The sequence below is a fragment of the Homo sapiens genome, chromosome 12 (assembly GCF_000001405.40).
Source record: "Homo sapiens chromosome 12, GRCh38.p14 Primary Assembly".
Classification (NCBI taxonomy): Eukaryota; Metazoa; Chordata; class Mammalia; order Primates; family Hominidae; genus Homo; species Homo sapiens.
The window spans coordinates 128,005,066-128,023,061 of record NC_000012.12 but is presented as its reverse complement, the minus strand read 5'-3'; positions in this window follow the sequence as shown (position 1 = coordinate 128,023,061).

Sequence of the window (17,996 nt, the reverse complement as noted above, 5' to 3'; positions counted from 1 at the left end):
ATAGAGAGCCAGGGTTGCCCAAGGCCGTTTCCAAGAACATTTCTGAAGTTGGGCTTAAAACAATTTGTTTCCATTATCTTTTACTCAAGGTGGGTTCTGGAATAATCTATGGAATCATTTGCAAAATTCAGCATAAACTTCTCCTTGCAGAAACTCTGGTGACATATCATTTGGCTGAATCTCACATGATAGATACTAATGAGAAATGCGAGCATGGGTTTGATATAGTATGGGCTTCCTTTTTGTAGCTAAGACAAGCCAATTCCTGAGAAGACATGGATTAAAAAAAATTGTGTCATATTCATCATTAGACACCCTTGTATTTAATCTACTGTACATGTCTAAATAAAATTGCAAAGTGACAGGATTCAACTTCGCATTAATCATCACTTGAAAATGGGGAGAGTGAGAAAGGATGGCATCTCCTTGGGGCCCATGGACAAGGAGAAGTTTCAAATTATTAAGCAGAGAAAACGGAATGTGGCTTTGCAAAGGCAAGTCAGAGCAAGCTCGCTCCAGTCTGGAGTTGTTCAAAAGGTATAGCAGTGGCGGCAGCTGAAAAAAACCTTGATTCTATGAACTCACTCACGCAATTTAAAGTCCAAAGCATGGCTTCATATGTTTGAAAAACTCTAGTATATAGTGTGCATTTTAATTATAAAAGTCAATCAGCCAGGCACGGTGGCTCACACCTGTAATCCCAGCACTTTGGGAGGCCGAGGTGGGCAGATCACCTGAGGTTGGGAGTTCAAGACCAGTCTGACCAACATGGAGAAACTATGTCTCTATTAAAAATACAAAATTAGCAGGCACGTGCCTGTAATCCCAGCTGCTCGGGAGGCTGACGCAGAATTGCTTGAACCCAGGTGGCGGATGTTGCGGTGAGCCGTGAGCCAAGATTGCACCACTGCAGTCCAGCCTGGGCAACAAGAGCAAATCTGTCTCAAAACAAACAAACAAACAAACAAACAAAAATCTAAAAGGACTTTTCTACTTTATGGAAATTTTAACTTTTTTATTATAAAGGTAACATATTTTATGCACAAATATGTAAAGGGAAAATTACCCAATGACCAGCCCCTTCGAAGTCCACTTATAACCGAAACACAGCTTCAATCACTTGCCACTTGCAGAGTCCAATTAACAAGAGCCAGGTCCAGTATAAGAAAAGTGATTTTATTCCAAAGCTTAGCTTAAGGGAAGAAGTACAGGCTCCTACCTTTAAGTCCTTGCTTTTGGGGAGGAAAGCAGGGGCTTTTAAAGGAACACTTGGCATGAATGGAATACAGGGGAGGAAGAGAGCAGCTACAGGGTTATTCTGCTGGGTGCTCAAGCTGGCACCATGGCTGGCAGAGCTAGGCTGTAAACTGGCCACTGTCTGGAGATACTCTCCAGGTGGAAGAGCGTTCCTTTGAGGGCATACTTTTAGGTGGTAAATTGACTGATGTCTCCTGAGGCAATCTGCTCGTGGGAGAGAGTTGCACTCTGGAGCTTCTAAGAAAGCACATGGTTAGATAAGCTTGCCCTGTAGGGAGGGTCTGGTGAAGGGAAGGTACAGTTATAGGTGCATTTCTAAAGAACTAAGTAGGAAGTGGGAAATAGTGGAAAGGAGGAAAAGGGAAAACAATAACAAAATAATTTAGAAAATAACTCATTCTCTCTTAGAAAAATGGGGATACTCAGTTACATACCCCCAAGGGGGAACCAATGTTCATAATTTGTAAGTTATTCTACCTAAGTTCTCTCATTCTGTCCTAAAAAATCTTTTTGCCCTTAAAATCTACTTATTTGACAAATGTGTGCATCTGTATCGTCACAATCAAGATGCAGGTCATTTAAATCACTCCCAAAGTTTATCTTCTGCCTCTTCCAAATTTCCCCCTGCCTTCCCCCCGAGGAAAACTTGATCTGCTTTTATTTCACTCAAGATTAGATTTTCTTTTCTGGAGTTTCATATGAATGGAATTGAAACAGGAGAGTTCCCTGACCCCCCTCACAGGATGTGTGACAAGGGTGTGGCTGCTCTGTTCAGCCACCTTCAAACCCCTTACTGGAGTAGGAACATGCAGATGGGCAGGTCCAGGAGCCAACTGAGCACCCTTGGGCTCCGGCCTCATGGCAGCGTCCAGGGGTGAGAGGCTGCAACTCCTGAAGCCCAAGTGGGCGCATGCTACAGTGTGCTCTTTTAGCCTTGCCATCTATGGACGGCATAAGTGTTAAACAGCTCAGTGGACCCTCTGCCTTTTGGCTGGGGAACCCTCCTCTTCTACCCAGTATTTCCCTGTCTTCTGTCTGTATCAGAATCACATGGTATGTACTTGTGGCAGATGTCAAAATACACTGCCCAGCTCTCCAGCTCTGACCGTCCCAGATGTGCATCTCTTGGCCCATCTCTGGATTTGCCCTCAGGCCACTTAACCCCAGCCTGCCCCAAACCAACAGGCAAGCTCAGCCAGGATTCAAGTGCCAGCCCACTCCCACGAACACGTGTAACAGAATATTTTATCTTGAGGACTGACTGCTGACCTGGATGAAAGTTTCTCAGAATTGCATTGCAGCCTTTGATTCTTCCTACAGAATACTCTCTCCCTCTCCCTCATCTTTCACAGGTATTCAGCTGGTATCATGGTGCAAAGGAGGTTGCTGCCTCCCCTGCTTTGACCTCACTGTCCTTTGCAACTCTTGCACTGTCTCATCCCATCTGAATGTCTGCTTCTTGGAGGACTCGAAATAACACATTTGTCAGGCCTCTGAGCCAAAGCTCAGCCATTGTAACCCCAGCGACCTGCACATATACGTCCAGATGGCCCACAGGAGCCAAGAAGTCTGGAGTAGCCGAAAAACCACAAAGAAGTGAAACAGACAGTTCCTGCCTTAACTAATTAACCCACCTTACGACATTCTACCATTAAGACTTGTTCCTGCCCCGCCCCAACTGATCGATCGACCCTGTGACATTCTTCTGGACAATGAGTCCCATGATCTCTCCACCATGCACCTTGTGACCCCCCGCCTCCCCTGCTGACAACAGATAACCACCTTTAACTGTAGCTTTCCACTGCCTACCCAGGCCCTATAAAGCTGCCCCTGTCCTATCTCCCTTCACTGACTCTCTTTTCGGGCTCAGCCCACTTGCACCCAAGTGAATAAACAGCCTTGTTGCTCACACAAAGCCTGTTTAGGTGGTCTTCTATACGCACACGCGTGACAACATTAATGTGTTGGCTTCTTTTCTTTTGCTCAGCATAATGTTTCTGAGATTTATCTGTGATATCGTTTGTCCGTAATTTGTTTTTGTTGTTGTTCCTGAGTAGTATTCCTTTGCATGAACAGGCCACTTTGTTTATGTATTGTTAAATCAAGTTTAGCCTAAAGCTTCCTCCTTACATATTTGAAGTTTGGCCTAAAGGTTTTCTGTACATCATGAACTGTAACAAGTGGAGGTGTAAACAGACTGTAGCCTACACTTGTGTCAATCACCGAGTTTTGGCCTATGAAATGTGGACAACTGTTTGACGCATGTTCAAATAAGGCAAACACCAAGCTGTAACCAACCTGGCCATTTCCATTCTTCACTTCTGTTTTCTCTACATCACTTTCCTTTTCCTGTCCCTACATCTTCCCCCACCATGTGGCTGCGCTGGAGTCTCTGAGCCTACTTTGGCTCAGGAGGCTGCCCGATTCATGAATCATTCATTGCTCAATTAAACTCTTAAGTTTAATTTGGTTGAAGTTTTTCTTTTATCAGTATTCATGCATTGGTAGACTTTTGTGCTGAGTCCAGTTATGAGCTCCTACAAATAAATCTTGCTATGAACACTCATAGACAAGTCTTTGGATGGATGTACACTTTTATTTTGCTCTAGTAGATAAGTAAAGGAAGTGTGATCCCGGAAATCGGAGGCAGGTCTCAGTTAATTTAGAAAGTTTATTTTGCCAAGGTTGAGGATGCACCCATGACACAGCCTCAGGAGGTCCTGATGACACATGCCCAAGGTGGTCGGGGCACAGCTTGGTTTTATACACTTTAGGGAGACATGAGACATCAATCAATATATGTAAGAAGTACATTAGGTCCATCCAGAAAGGTGGGGACAACTCAAAGCAAGGCCTCCCACTAGGGGCTTTCAGGCCACAGGTAGGTGAGAGACGAACAGTTTCATTCTTTTGAGTTTCTGATAAGTTTTTCCAAAGGAGGCAATCAGAATATGCATCGGTCTCTGTGAGCAGAGGGGTGACTTTGAATAGAATGGGAGGCAGATTTGTCCTGAGCGGTTCCCAGCTTGAGGGGTCCCAAGATACTTTCCTTTCACAGAAGTAAAATTCAGTCACCAGGTAAATATAGGGGTAACCGTTTAAAAATAAATGGACAGTTTTCCAAAAGTTTGTGTCATCTTATGCCCCCACCAAAAGTGCATGAGAATTTAAATGGCCTCATATCCTAACAATTTTTTTTTTTTTTTGAGACGGAGGTTCACTCTTGTTGCCCAGGCTGGAGTGCGATGGTGCAATCTCAGCTCACCGCAGCCTCTGCCTCCCGGGTTCAAGCAGTTCTCCTGCCTCAGCCTCCCGAGCAGCTGGGATTACAGACAGGCATGTGCCACCACGCCCGGCTAATTTTGTATTTTTAGTAGAGACCATGCTGGTCAGCCTGGTCTCGAACTCCCAACCTCAGGTGATTCGCCTGCCTCGGCCTCCCGAAGTGCTGAGATTACAGGCGTGAGCCACCACACCCAGCTAACAATTAGTATCTTTACACGTAGCCATTCTAGTGGAGTGTGGCGGTGCCTCACTGTGTTTTTAATTTCCATTTTCCTAATGACTAATGATTTGGGCATGTCTGCTTATTGCCCAATGTATATCTTCTTTTGTGAAATGTCTGTTCAAAGCATTTGTCTATTTCTACTAGGTTGTTTATCATATAACTGAGTTTTAATATTAGTATACTTTGTATATTCCAGACGTAAGTCATTTGTCAGCTACATGAATTGTGAATATTTTCTTCCAGTCTGTGACTTGCCTTTAATTTACATAATGATATCTCTCAAGGAGTATGCACTTTTAATTTTGATGACATCAAACTTATCAAATTTTTCCTTATGTTTCCTGTCTTTTGTGCCCTACGGATCAAAATCTTTGCCTCCCCATGGTCATATTTTTTTCTCTATATTTTTTATTTAACTGTATGATTTTAACTTTTACTTTTAGATGTACAATAGTTTTGAGTCAATCTTTGAGTATTGTGTGAGGTAGTGGTTGATTTTTATTTTTGTGTATACAGATATCCAATTGTGCCCCCATCATTTGTTGAAAAGACTTTATTTCCTATTGAGTTACACTGTCAGACTTATGAAAAGCATACACGTGTGGCTATATTTGTATATTCTCTATCCTGTCATCAGTTATACACATACACACAAACAGAAGCACATAGTGTACTTTGTTGCTTACAATAGCTTTACAAAAAGTATCCTCCAAATTAAAATGTGAAATTAAGGAAACCATACCATTCACAACATATCTAAAATCATTAAATACTTAAGGATAAATCTGACATTTGTGAAAGACTTGTACTCTCAAAAGTACAAAATACTGCTGAGAGAAATTAAAGAACTGAATCAACAAAGCTATGTAATATTTCATGCTCAAGGCTGTCATGCTTCCATATTAAGATATGAAATATCCCCAAATAGATCAGTAGATTTGACGAGATCCCAATTAAAGTTTCAGAAGATGTTCCTTGTAGAAATTGCCAAGCACATTCTAAAATGTATATGGAAATAGAAAGCACCAAAACAATCTTGGAAAATGAAAATTGAGCACCCTAAAATTTACAATAATCATTGTAACGTATCTCAACCTACTTTCAAATAATATTGACATTTCATGTGTGTCTGAAAATGTACAAGGGCATACTTCTGTTCCTCCCCTCTCATCCTTTGTGCTATTTCTTGCTACATTTTGCTTCCACAAATATTATAAATGCTTTAATTTATTTATCTTATTTATACTTGAAAAAGTCAATTACCTTTTGCATTAATTTAGAAATTAGAAAATAGTTACATTTATATTTACCAACCTACTTACTTCCAGTACTTTTTATTCTCGTGTGTAGTGGATCTTTTCCCCAAAAGAATTTCCCTTAGGGTATTGCCAATCTGCTTCTAATGAATTACTTTAACCTTTGTCTGAAAAGTCTTTGGCCTTTATTTCTGAAAAAGGTTTATAGTGCATATACAATTCTAAGTGACGGGATTTTTCATTTCCTTATAGCTCTGTACTTTAAAGATGTTACTCTTTTTTCTTTTGGGCTGTGTGGTTTCTGATGAAAATTATTTCCTAAGTATGTTCTGTAGAACATAATTTATATACACATAGATTTTCTTTTGCTGTTTTTTTTTTTTTTTTTTTTTTTTTTTTTGAGACAGAGTCTCGCTCTGTTGCCCAGGCTGGAGTGCAGTGGCGCGATCTCGGATCACTGCAAGCTCCGCCTCCCGGGTTCACGCCATTCTCCTGCCTCAGCCTCCCGAGTAGCTGGGACTACAGGTGCCCGCCACGCGCGCCCGGCTAATTTTTTGTATTTTTAGTAGAGATGGGGTTTCACTGTGTTAGGCAGGATGGTCTCGATCTCCTGACCTCGTGATCCGCCCGCCTTGGCCTCCCAAAGTGCTGGGATTACAGGCGTGAGCCACCGCACCCGGCCCTTTTGCTACTTTTAAGATTCCTTTTTATTACTTGTTTTCAGAAATTTTATTATAATGAGTCCCAATGTAGTTTTCTTTATGTTTCTTTGGCTATGGGTTTATTTATCATTTTGAATCTATGCTTTACAGTTTTCATAAGATTTGGAATTTTTTAGCTCTTATTTCTTCAATTATTTTGGATTCTTACTTCTCTCTTTTTTGGACTCCAATTGCATTTAGAAATTAAATATATGATAACCACACAAATATTTCAGTGGAGGGGGTAACAGCTATATAGATACTACAGAAGAAGAAATTACTTTTCTTCAGCCATCAAAAATTATACGTGTGCATCCAAAGAAAAAGTTGCAAAATGAAGCACAGAGATAAATATGTCTTTTTTTAAAAAAGGCAAAACAAAAAAACAAAGCTTCAGTGCCCTTTGAGGCAGTACAAAGCAGTTTAATACAGATTCCTTTTTTCTTCTCATTACATTCATATTCTTCATTAAATCCTTGAGTAGACTCAGTATGTTCACTCTTTTAATGCTCATATCTGAAGATGCCATCATCTCTATCATTTATGGGTCTGTTTCTACTGACTTATTTCCTTCCTGTGTTTAGGTCATGTTTATCTGCTTCTTCATATGTCTTGTAATTTCTTAATTGAAAGCTAGACAGCTTAAATTTTGCATGGGCATATGCTAGATTTTCTGTATTTCTTATGAAATACATTGAACTTTATTTTTTATATCAGTTTGATGTTTAAGTCTTGTTTTAAACCACTTTTAAGACTTGTCCAAAGTACCCTTTAATCTATAGCTAATTTAGGTCTGCTTCTAAGGTGTGGCTCTTCTCTACTGAATGCCTTATGTATAAACAAAACGATTCCCAGCCGTTTGTGACCTCTGGTCATTTTCATCATACAGCTCCTTTGTGAACTCTGGTCATTTTCATCATACAGCTCCCTGGCAATTTTAATTTCCCCAGAAGTTTTTCTTTATTCAACCTGTGAGTTTTTTCCCAATACATATGGAGATTTTTTATCAGCCGAAGGCTCAAGTGTGCCTGTGTGCACATTTTTGGAACTCCTGCTTTGCACAGCTCCTTCCTTCCAGGTGTTCTGTCCTGTAAGTCCCAGGAACATCAGCCTTCCCAAAGTCCAATCTCTTTCTCCTCAATTCAGTGAGAACAGGAGGCTCTGTTTGGGTTGACCCTCCCTGCCCTGCAGTCCAGAAATTGGGAGTGATAGATCTCATCTTATTTGTTTTTCTTTTTTCAGGTATCGTAGTTTTGCCCTGCCTGTTGTCCAATTCCAGAAAATTTGTTTCCTATAAGTTGCCCAATTATAAGAATAATATTTTTCAAATTTGTTCACTGTAAAAAGGTGATTCTGGGCTGTGTTTCCCTCCTATGGCCAAGACATAAATTTCCCTTCTATTTATGCTCAACTATAAAAACAACTTTCTATGTTTTATCCTCCCATTTTCTTCTTCCTCCTTGTTATTTACCTTCTCCCACCTCTGTCTTACCATTGTCATGACCAACATTATTACAAGCATCAGCTAATGTTTTTTCCAGGTGCTAAGCCAAGCATGTTACTTGCATTTTAGAATTTACTTCTCTTGCAGGGTAAAGATGAATAAATTCTGTGGACCTAATGTACAGCATGGTGATTATAGTTACTAATAATGTGTTGCAACCTTGAAATTTACTGAGAGTAAATATCAAATGTTCTCATCATAGGCGCGCACACACGCAATGTAACTGTGTGAAATGATGCACGAGTTAATAGCTTGATTATGATAATCATTTCTCAATATATATGTGCCAAATCATCGCATTGGACACCTTGAAAATATACAATTTTTATTTGTCAGTTATATGTCCACAAAGCTGAAAAAAAGAAAAACACAAAATTTAATTCTAACAACAGCCCTAAAACTAGGCTGCCAGAAACCCCTTTATCTTAGCCCTCCTGATACGTGTGGTCATATCTCATCATTCTCAGCCTTCCAGCCAACGCTGCAAAGATGCTGGTTTAACTCAGTCTCCTAAAATGCATGAATATGTGCCCCTCTGGTCAGTTGGGGGTCTTTTTAGTTACATCTTATTTTATTTTATTTTATTTTTATTTTCATTTTTATTGAGATGGAGTCTCATTCTGTTGCCCAGGCTGGAGTGCAGTGGTATGATCTCAGTTCACTGAAACCTCTGCCTTCCAGGTTCCAGTGATTCTCCTGCCTCAGCCTCCCTAGTAGCAGGGATTATAGGTGCCCGCCACCATGCCAGCCTAATTTTTGTATTTTTAGTAGAGACGGGGTTTCACTATGTTGGCCAGGCTGGTCTCGACCTCCTGACCTCAAGTGATCCATCCTCCTCGGCCTCCCAAAATGCCAGGATTACAGGCGAGAGCCACTGAGGCTGGCCTACAACTCATTTTAAAGCTATTCATCAGGCTAAACCTGGCTCAGGATTCTGCTTGCTCTTCATATCCTCTAAGAATCTTCCGTGGTGGTCTTCATGTTCTCCCCTCCCACCCTCACTTTGCTAGGTTGAATTAGGCACAGCTACATGCACTTTGTATCCCAACCCATGCACAGCCATAATTCCTGTTGTTTATACCAGAGACTACTCTGTACTTCCTCCTTTCTTCCCTCAGAACGTCAGTGTGTGAGGTCCATCAGCTTCATCTCTTTGTTTCCAATGCCCAGCACAATGCCAGATGAAGTGGGTGTTAGCTAGATTCTAGCTGTATTAATGGATACATGCATAAAAGGATTCACTTTTCTCACTAATAGTCTTAGCTTCATGGAACCAGCGTCATTCACATTCACTTACATAGCCTACTCAATCGGAATCTGCTAACCTCCTTGTCCTTAAATACAGAAACAGTTTCCATATTCCTATTGTACACAATTGGTGCTCATTAATGCTCTCTTAATCCCCTGAGAAGTGGGAACCATAAAATCCAATTGAGCAATTGAATCTCTTTTCCTTCTAGCTCGCGCTGGAGCCAGAGGGATGGAGATATTAAAAGTTCCCTGAATCTCATTATCAGCTCAGAATTTTAAGTGTGTGTCCATGCCTCTATCACCCCCTGGAGCATCACGACATGAGTGAAAGCCCAGTGCTTCCCAGGTCACACAGGCTGGTCCCTTATTTTGTAGAGGGTTTAACTGACACTCAGACTGTGACATTCTCTAAGGTCATGTGATAACTTAGTCGCAGAACCAGGATTAGAGCCTATATCCTTCCTGCTTAGCCAGCATAAACTTCCTTCTCATTTGAGTCCTAACTTGGCTCTAATTTCATCTGATTTCTGCATGCATTTTGATATATATCATTTATTAATTCATTAATTCATTCATTTGATAAACAATAAGTATTTTATCTGTTATATATGCCAGAAAATACTCAGATAAACAAGAAACAGACTCTACTGTCTTCTTCAACTATTCAGCTTCTATTTAACATTGCTTCAAGCTTTTATTTATTTCAACATCATCATTTTTTAAAGTTGATACATACAAATAGAGCATATCTGAGTCTATACAGTGGCTAGTTCAAAATTGATCTGAATTTTATCTACATTTCTTAGTTTCTGATTTCTTTTTCTTTCAGCTGAATGACTGACATTTACTCCAAAACTTATTTTACTTAAAATGAATGCTTGATTTTTAGTATTTAGAAAAATATGAAATATATAAAATGCCCTCTGGTATACTTGAATTGAATTTTCTTCCTATCACAAACATTGAATTCTTTTCAAAGCATAGTTTAATATGCCTGTGCAATCGTGCACAATGATATATTCTAGGTTGGCCTCATGAATGAATTTTGAGACAATATCCTATTCCCAGCACTATCACATTGTATAGGGAAACAATTTTTAACTTTGTATTTGATTGATTAACCTTAGTGTTTTGAAATTGGGTTAAGTATTATATATGACCACACATGAATAAAAAATATCCATGACTGTTTTCCCTGGAGCAGAGAGTGAAAATAAAGTTGTCTTAGGTTGCAGGACTGGTTTCTAAGACATCTCCAAGATCAGTGCCCAGGGAGTGGCTGCCAGCCATATCTCATGCCTTTGAATCAATAAGAGCCTGAAAATCATTTCAGACTTCACACTCCTGCTTTGCTCCTGTTTCTAGGTGAGAAACTGCTTGTACCTATAAGAAAGTATAATTTGTTAAATCCTTCTGATTCTAAGTGTAGCTACCCACAAAAATTCAAAGTCTGTTCTCCTAATATCACACTTGGATCTGAGGGCAGCTAAGCCCTACAAACTACTTGTACAGGTAACATAACTTTTGGCTTTGACCCACGGAATTCATGCACGTGAAGCTCAATTTTACCTCTAAAAACATTTCAGCATGATGCCAGAGCAGGTTTTCATTCCTCCCATTAATTGATGATAATACAATATCACTTTTATTTGAACATAAGGAAAACCTTCATCATTATCCTTGGTGCCTGGGCCCATTCCCCATGGGGCCAGGGTTGGATTTCTTTATGTAAATCTCCCTTGCTGAGCAAACACAGGAGCATTATCTGGCTGGTTAGGATTTCAGAAGGTCTCTGTTGAGGAACAGGAGTCAAGAGCTCCACAAAATTGGGAAATAAACCTAGAAGTGATGCTTTCTTGCAGTTTCAGGGATTCTATTAAAAGTGACAGGTGTTTTGAGGATGTAGGGAAAGGAGAGCACATGCAAAGTAGTCTCTGTCTCATTTCTGCCAAAACTTTTATGCCTAAAACTTTACATCAAAATATTATCTAACTGAATATTTGCATTTCTCATTCTGGACTGATAATGCAAACAAGGCATACACTTATTAAAATATCCAGTGTTTCAGTTTCCTTATCAATGTCAGGATGGTAGGTGCTAGGGAGAAGAATGGAAAGATGTTAATGGATGGAATTGAAATGAAGCCTCTTCTGCCTATTTATGGAAATCAGAGAACTATACATGTCCTTAAGATATCTAAGAATTACAATGAGCCACCGGGCACAGTGGCTCACACCTGTTAACCCAGCACTTCAGGAGGCCAAGGCAGGCAGATCACTTGAGGCCAGGAGTTTGAAACAGCCTGGCCAACATGGTAAAACCTTGTCTCTACTAAAAATACAAAAATTAGCCAGGCATGGTGGTGCATGCCTGTAATCTCAGGTACTTGGGAGGCTGAGGCAGGAGAATCGCTTGAACCTGGGAAGTGGAGGTTGCAGTGAGCTGAGATCGTGCCACTGAACTCCAGCCTGGGCGACAGAGCGAGATTCCATCTCGAAAAAAAAAAAATAGCAAAAATCCTCTAAGCATATCGGGGAAAATGTAAACCTGGAGATGTGTTTCAGAAGTCCCCAGGGATCTCAGTTCCTGCCCCCAGTTCTTTTTTTAACTGGAGGCAGCCAATGTACTTTCTGATAACACAGTGCTTGGCACAATCAATTGGTCTGTGCTAATGTGGATGCCACAGTCCCTTCAGTGTGATCCACGCAGCACTAGTGGGTGGCCTTTACTGAATCTGGAAGAGAATGTAGTAATAATCAGGACCTTCTCAGCATAGGCTGTGTCCAAACCTTGTTTGAGTGGTATCCAGAAATCTCAGGATATCATTATAGCCGAATAGCCTGAGAAATGAAATCAGGATCTGAGTAGAAGTGTGATTCTCCATAGCCATCCGGAAACATATTTGTGTTTGTTTAATATCCATTGTGAGGTGGTGGCAGGGAAAGTATCTTTTATAAACCAATAATAAGGTAAGGTTCCCACAAAACCACCCCTGAAAAAGCCTCTTTCATCATGATTAAGATCAGATGCATCACTGTGAAATGATCTCAGTCAATGCCATTTTAAGAAGCATCCACCATTCAGATAACCCTCTCTGTGACAAAGAAGGACAGAGACATTCAGCATGGATTTTGTCATTATTCTGGCATTTGACCTCTTAATAGCAAGCATTTAATGTGAGATAAATGGAAAAAAAAATGCCTTGATGTAATGAAGATGGGTATCTGTGTCCAAGAACAATATTTGCAGAAAAGAATTATACAAAGAGCTTTTCCTCATATTACCAAGAGGAGTGATACATCTTTTTAAAAGTTACTTCAATGAGCCCAAGGATAATGAAAAAATATCCTGATGTTAAAGAGACATGGAAGGAGTGTGAATTAAATCATTTCATAAAATGAAAATGCATAATTACTTGTAGAGAGGTGTTAAACAAATGAAAAAGTTAAAAATATATTACCCTGGCATATTGACTGTTTTGAGTTAAAGGTACTTGAAAAATAGCAGGTGCAGGACGATTATTCTGACCTCTTTTCTGTGTCTTAAAAGCAGGAGATGAAATTCCCACGTGAAATTCACCTTCACTATACCAAAAGAAATAGCACCTTTATCCTCAAGGACGAGAAGTGGAGACCAAAAAGAATTCAGTACAGACTTCGTGAAAATAACTCCTGTCTCTTATGTCTTCCCACACAATTTAGCTGCTTCTTCACAACTTTCTATTCTTTGTCCAATCCAGTATATAAGTAACTCTCTCTAACTGCTTTAGTCTTTTTTTTTAATGACAGCTCCCATGCCATGTAAAACTTGTGTTAAAGACATTTGCCTGCTTTTCTCCTGTTGACCTATCTTAAATTTCAATTTAATTTTCAAGCCCATCTGACAAGAAGCCCTAAATGGGATCCCCACTCCCCTACCCACATATGAAACTCAGTGAATTATGTAAATAGATTATTTGACCTCTTAACTCTAAAATTTTACATGTTAAGTTGGCCCCTCAAAAGTTTTTAAACGCTATTCTTTTAATTTGAAAAATGGGGCCGGTCCCTTCTATTTGGGTATGACATGTAGTAGATATTGCAGGGCCCACCCAGATCCCCTCACCAGGAGCTGCCGGAGCATTAGCTGCAGACAGCTCAGAGCTGAGTCCCTCTCTGGGAATGTCGCTGGCCAAAGGAAAGTGGCTCTCAACGTTAGGCACCCTCCCTGCAGCAGGCTGCACCCAGTAACGGTAGGCGGCGGCGAAACAGTTTATAAAGGCTCAGCCCCATTGCCTTGATCAGGTCAACTCTGAAAAGCCAGCTCAGCATCAGGGCCTCCCTTGGGATTCCTGGGGGCTGATGTCACAACTCACAACAGATCACCACCTTCTACAGGTAATTCCTCCTCCCTGACTCCCCTCCCTCCCAGATGCTGCTTTTGAGAATTCTGCCCAGTGAACCTCTGTCTTAGAGCATGTTTCTCGCATACCTAACCTAAGACATTTTATGAAGAGGATCCTGTTAACAAATCGATGTACACCCAGGAGCACACTGTGCAAGCATCTGTGTGCTGGGTACAGTAGGACGCACAGGGAAAGATCAAAACATTCCTCTGCGCCAGAGGTTGCAAATGCATGGCAGTAAATCGACGGAGTTGAGCTCACAGATATGTTTCCTTTGATTTGCCTGAGGGTTTAAAAAAACTTTGCATTCACTGACAATGTGTAGTATCAGGAGATTTTACATTTAATATAAGATATGTAACTTTTCTTTAAAAATGAAAATCTGAGATGTGGCAATACTGGTATGCATTCCAACAGCCACAATCAGCTGGAGATGAGGTGGTAGCCATTGTGCTCTTTAGACAGCATGAGAGCTCTTCAGTGAGCCACAGTCTCCAGCACTCCCTATTGCCCCACACCAGTTAGTTTCATTCATCTGTCTAACCTGCCTGGCCCCTGGAGGCATTTGAGTTTGTGACTTCCCGTCTTGTCTATGACTTCTATTTCTACTAGAAAAAGACTGAATTTCTCAAGGCCAGAAACTGTTAATCCTATTCCAGCATTTTTCTCCTCCCAGAAACTTGACTTTTAACCTATGAGAGTTTATTTAACTGGTGATTCAGATATATCTATTTAGCTGGTTTATTTAACTGGTGATTCAGACATGTCTGCTCGGGGAGAGAGTGACTCCACGCCTGATAGTCTGTAGAATTTAAGTCACTCATTTATTTTTATCCTATTTAAAAAGTTGGACTGCAGGTACATAATTAAGTTACACTTTTCTGTTTATAACAGATCAGTGGTCTGTGTAAGGCCTCCTTCTTGTTTTATTCATTTTATTAATTTGATTGCATTCTCTATTCTCATACCCATTCCCACTTAGTCCACAAGCACAACTCGAGCATGTGTGGTATTTGTCCTTAATATAGCATGGTGTGTGTGTGTGTGTGTATGTGTGTGTGTGTGTGTGTGTGTATGCTGTGGGTTTTCATTTACATAATTGGTATTTGCCTACATTCTTTTTTCCAACATTTTTCAATCAACATTGTTTTTTAGATGTGTCTCTGATGTGCATGTTTACCTGGGGAATTTTTTTTGACTGTGTGAATGTATTTGAACCTAAACTTCTAATTATCTAAAAATCCATCATCATAAAATATTTCCTCAACCCTTGGTACGTAAGACTTGGGGTAATGCACAAGTCTGTGGCCCCTGCTCCTAACACACGACTCGGCCATTCCTTTCTATGCACACAGCGCTCGGAGTGCTGGTCACCGAGCACAACTCAGAAAAGCAGAAAAATTCTCCCCATTTCCTCTTAGTGAAGGGTGCTTTGGTATTGATTCTTGTTTGGAAAGATACTTTTCTCCCCCTATTTTTTTTAATCCTCCAATAATGGAAATTTCACTCCCTTCTTGACAAAAGACATCCATCATGACCCAACTTAAAACCCAGGTCTCTTAAATGCCCAGATTCTCATTTGCCAGGAGAAAGCTGAGTCCGGACCCAAGGGCTATAATTCCATCAGCTCTTTCCTGCAGCATTTCCACAACCTGTGCCTACCCTGGACAATGGCTTTTCCCCTCCTATGCCACATCCTCCCCTTCAAACCACAAGGGTAGGGGCAGTGTTGTAGTTATTTTCTGACTCCCACAGCCACAGCCTGGCACAGGGCTTAGCGGCAGATGACCTGGAAACATTTACTGGAAAAGCAGACGTCGTTTTTTTCTGATGAGAGCTTCAGTTCCACTGCATTCTCCTCCTTAAATTTGCCTGGTCTTCCTCACAATTGAGTTTTCCTGTGCAGTGCAATCAACCACAGACAGACACACAAGAAAGTGTGCTGGGCAAACGGATCAGCTTAGGATACATGTTCGATCATTGCGGAGTCAAGTCTTATGGCACATTAATGAACGTGAAATACACGTTGTGGTGTCTTTTATCCCCTCTGCAGCGGGATTACTGAGGAAAGATAAAATAAGCCCATGAGTACACTCTGAAAATAGCAACATAACTCAATCATGTGTCCTCAGAAGAGTTTGACTTAAAATTGAAAGAAACTATTTTGTCTGTTGTTAAGAATATAAAAGTAGGACAAGCTATAGGAGATCAATTTTAAATTATTTGAAGCTACAGGAAAGATTCTTCCTGAAACTTTTTTCAAATGAGGTAATGTGTTTTTCTGTCATGGCCTTTTAATAAAGAAATCATGCATTATGCAAACGTTAACATTTAAACCAATTATGAGCAATTGAAGTTAATTCTTTTAAGAACATAGAGTTGAGATATGACCTTCTTTTTATGAATATAATGCCTTTACCAAAATAAAACAATGAGAGTTATGTCTTATGCATTAGCTCACACTGTTGGAGAAAAAATGATTTTCTATTTTTCTCTTTTTGGATGAGAGCACATTATCAAAAATTTTTATGTACACAATATTATTTCTTAGTAAATGTAGGGGGTTCAACAATGACAGGCATTGTTTCACAATAACACAATAACTGTCATCAAAACACTAGGAGTAATTACAGCATCCTCATTATACAGATGACAAAAGTTAAGCATCAAAGGTTTATTTGTCACTCACAGTAGGTCAAAATAACCTGAAATACACCCAGTGTTGGGACTTTTGTTTAAAATGAGTGAATATTCAATAGGATAGTAAAAATGTAGTGTATTTTAAATCTTTATTTTTTAAAAATAATGCTTTATTTATGTATTTTTTGAGACGAAGTTCGCTCTCGTTGTTCAGGCTGGAGTACAATGGCACGATCTCGGCTCACCGCAACCTCTGCCTCCCAGATGCAAGCGATTTTCCTGCCTCAGCCTCCTGAGTAGCTGGGATTATAGGCATGCGCAACCACGCCTGGGTAATTTTGTATTTTTAGTAGAGACGGGGTTTCTCCATGTTGGTCAGGCTGGTCTCGAACTTCCAACCTCAGGTGATCCGCCCGCCTTGGCCTCCCAAAGTGCTGGGATTACAGGCGTGAGCCACCGTGCCCAGCCAGTAATAAGTTTAACCCTTATAAAATAGAGTATGATATTAGGATGTGTTATAATTCACAATATAAATCTAAGGGGTGTGTATGTGTTTAACTTCAATGGTGCACACTTGAGACACTTCATGAATATGAGGTCAGGGTCTCCCTTCTATATGGGAATTGACTTATTTGTGTATCCTTGACCCCTGTCCCCTTTTTTTCTTTGGGAGAGTCCTGGACTGAAGGACATGGGATTATGTATGCACTTATTTTTCGTTTACAGTGACCTTGAACAAGACTTTCCTCTTCTCTAGGCTTCAGATCCAATCTGAATGGCACAGGTGCCAAACAGATAATTTCTAGTCTGTGAGTCTAAAAAAGCTGTTACAGCTCTTTGTACCAAGCCTGCTCTGCAGACATGTGGCACATTTTATTAAGCTCAGGAAGTGTTTTAAACAGTTTCAAATCAGTCTTTTTAACATTTTAAGATTTTGCGCAAATATCCAGACTTCCTTTGTCTCCTGGAGCATCTGAGGTTTTGGTGCACCAGCCTGCATTTCTGCAGGGCCCTAGGGTGGGAATTGGGCTGCGGTTCCTCTTTTCCACACCTCAGGCATCCAGTGACTCCTGTCTGCTGGTTCCCCCACCCCACTGACATAGGAGCTAAAAAGAAATTATTTAGGAAGTTAGTGAGGTAAGAGAGTCCTCAGTAAGGTTTCCCTTTGAACAAAAAGCAGCCCCCCAAATAATTTCTTTTCTAAAGAAGAGCAGCCTGTAAAATGGAGCTGCAGACATAGAAAAGTAAGCTGGGACCCTGCACAGGTGAATGCCAGTAGTTGTGCCAACAGAAAAGGGCTACCTGAGGGCCAGGCATCTTCAACATGGATGCTCCATCTTCTCTTTTCTTTGTCAACCACGTGTACAGCAAAGGAGCAGGCAACATGGCGCCAGCCAGGTAGAGATGCCCTCTGCATAGTAAAAGATGAGGGTGGGGCAGCCAGCTTCTTTGTGCACTATGTAAATGGCACACCTGGTCCAACCAATCTTTGGGC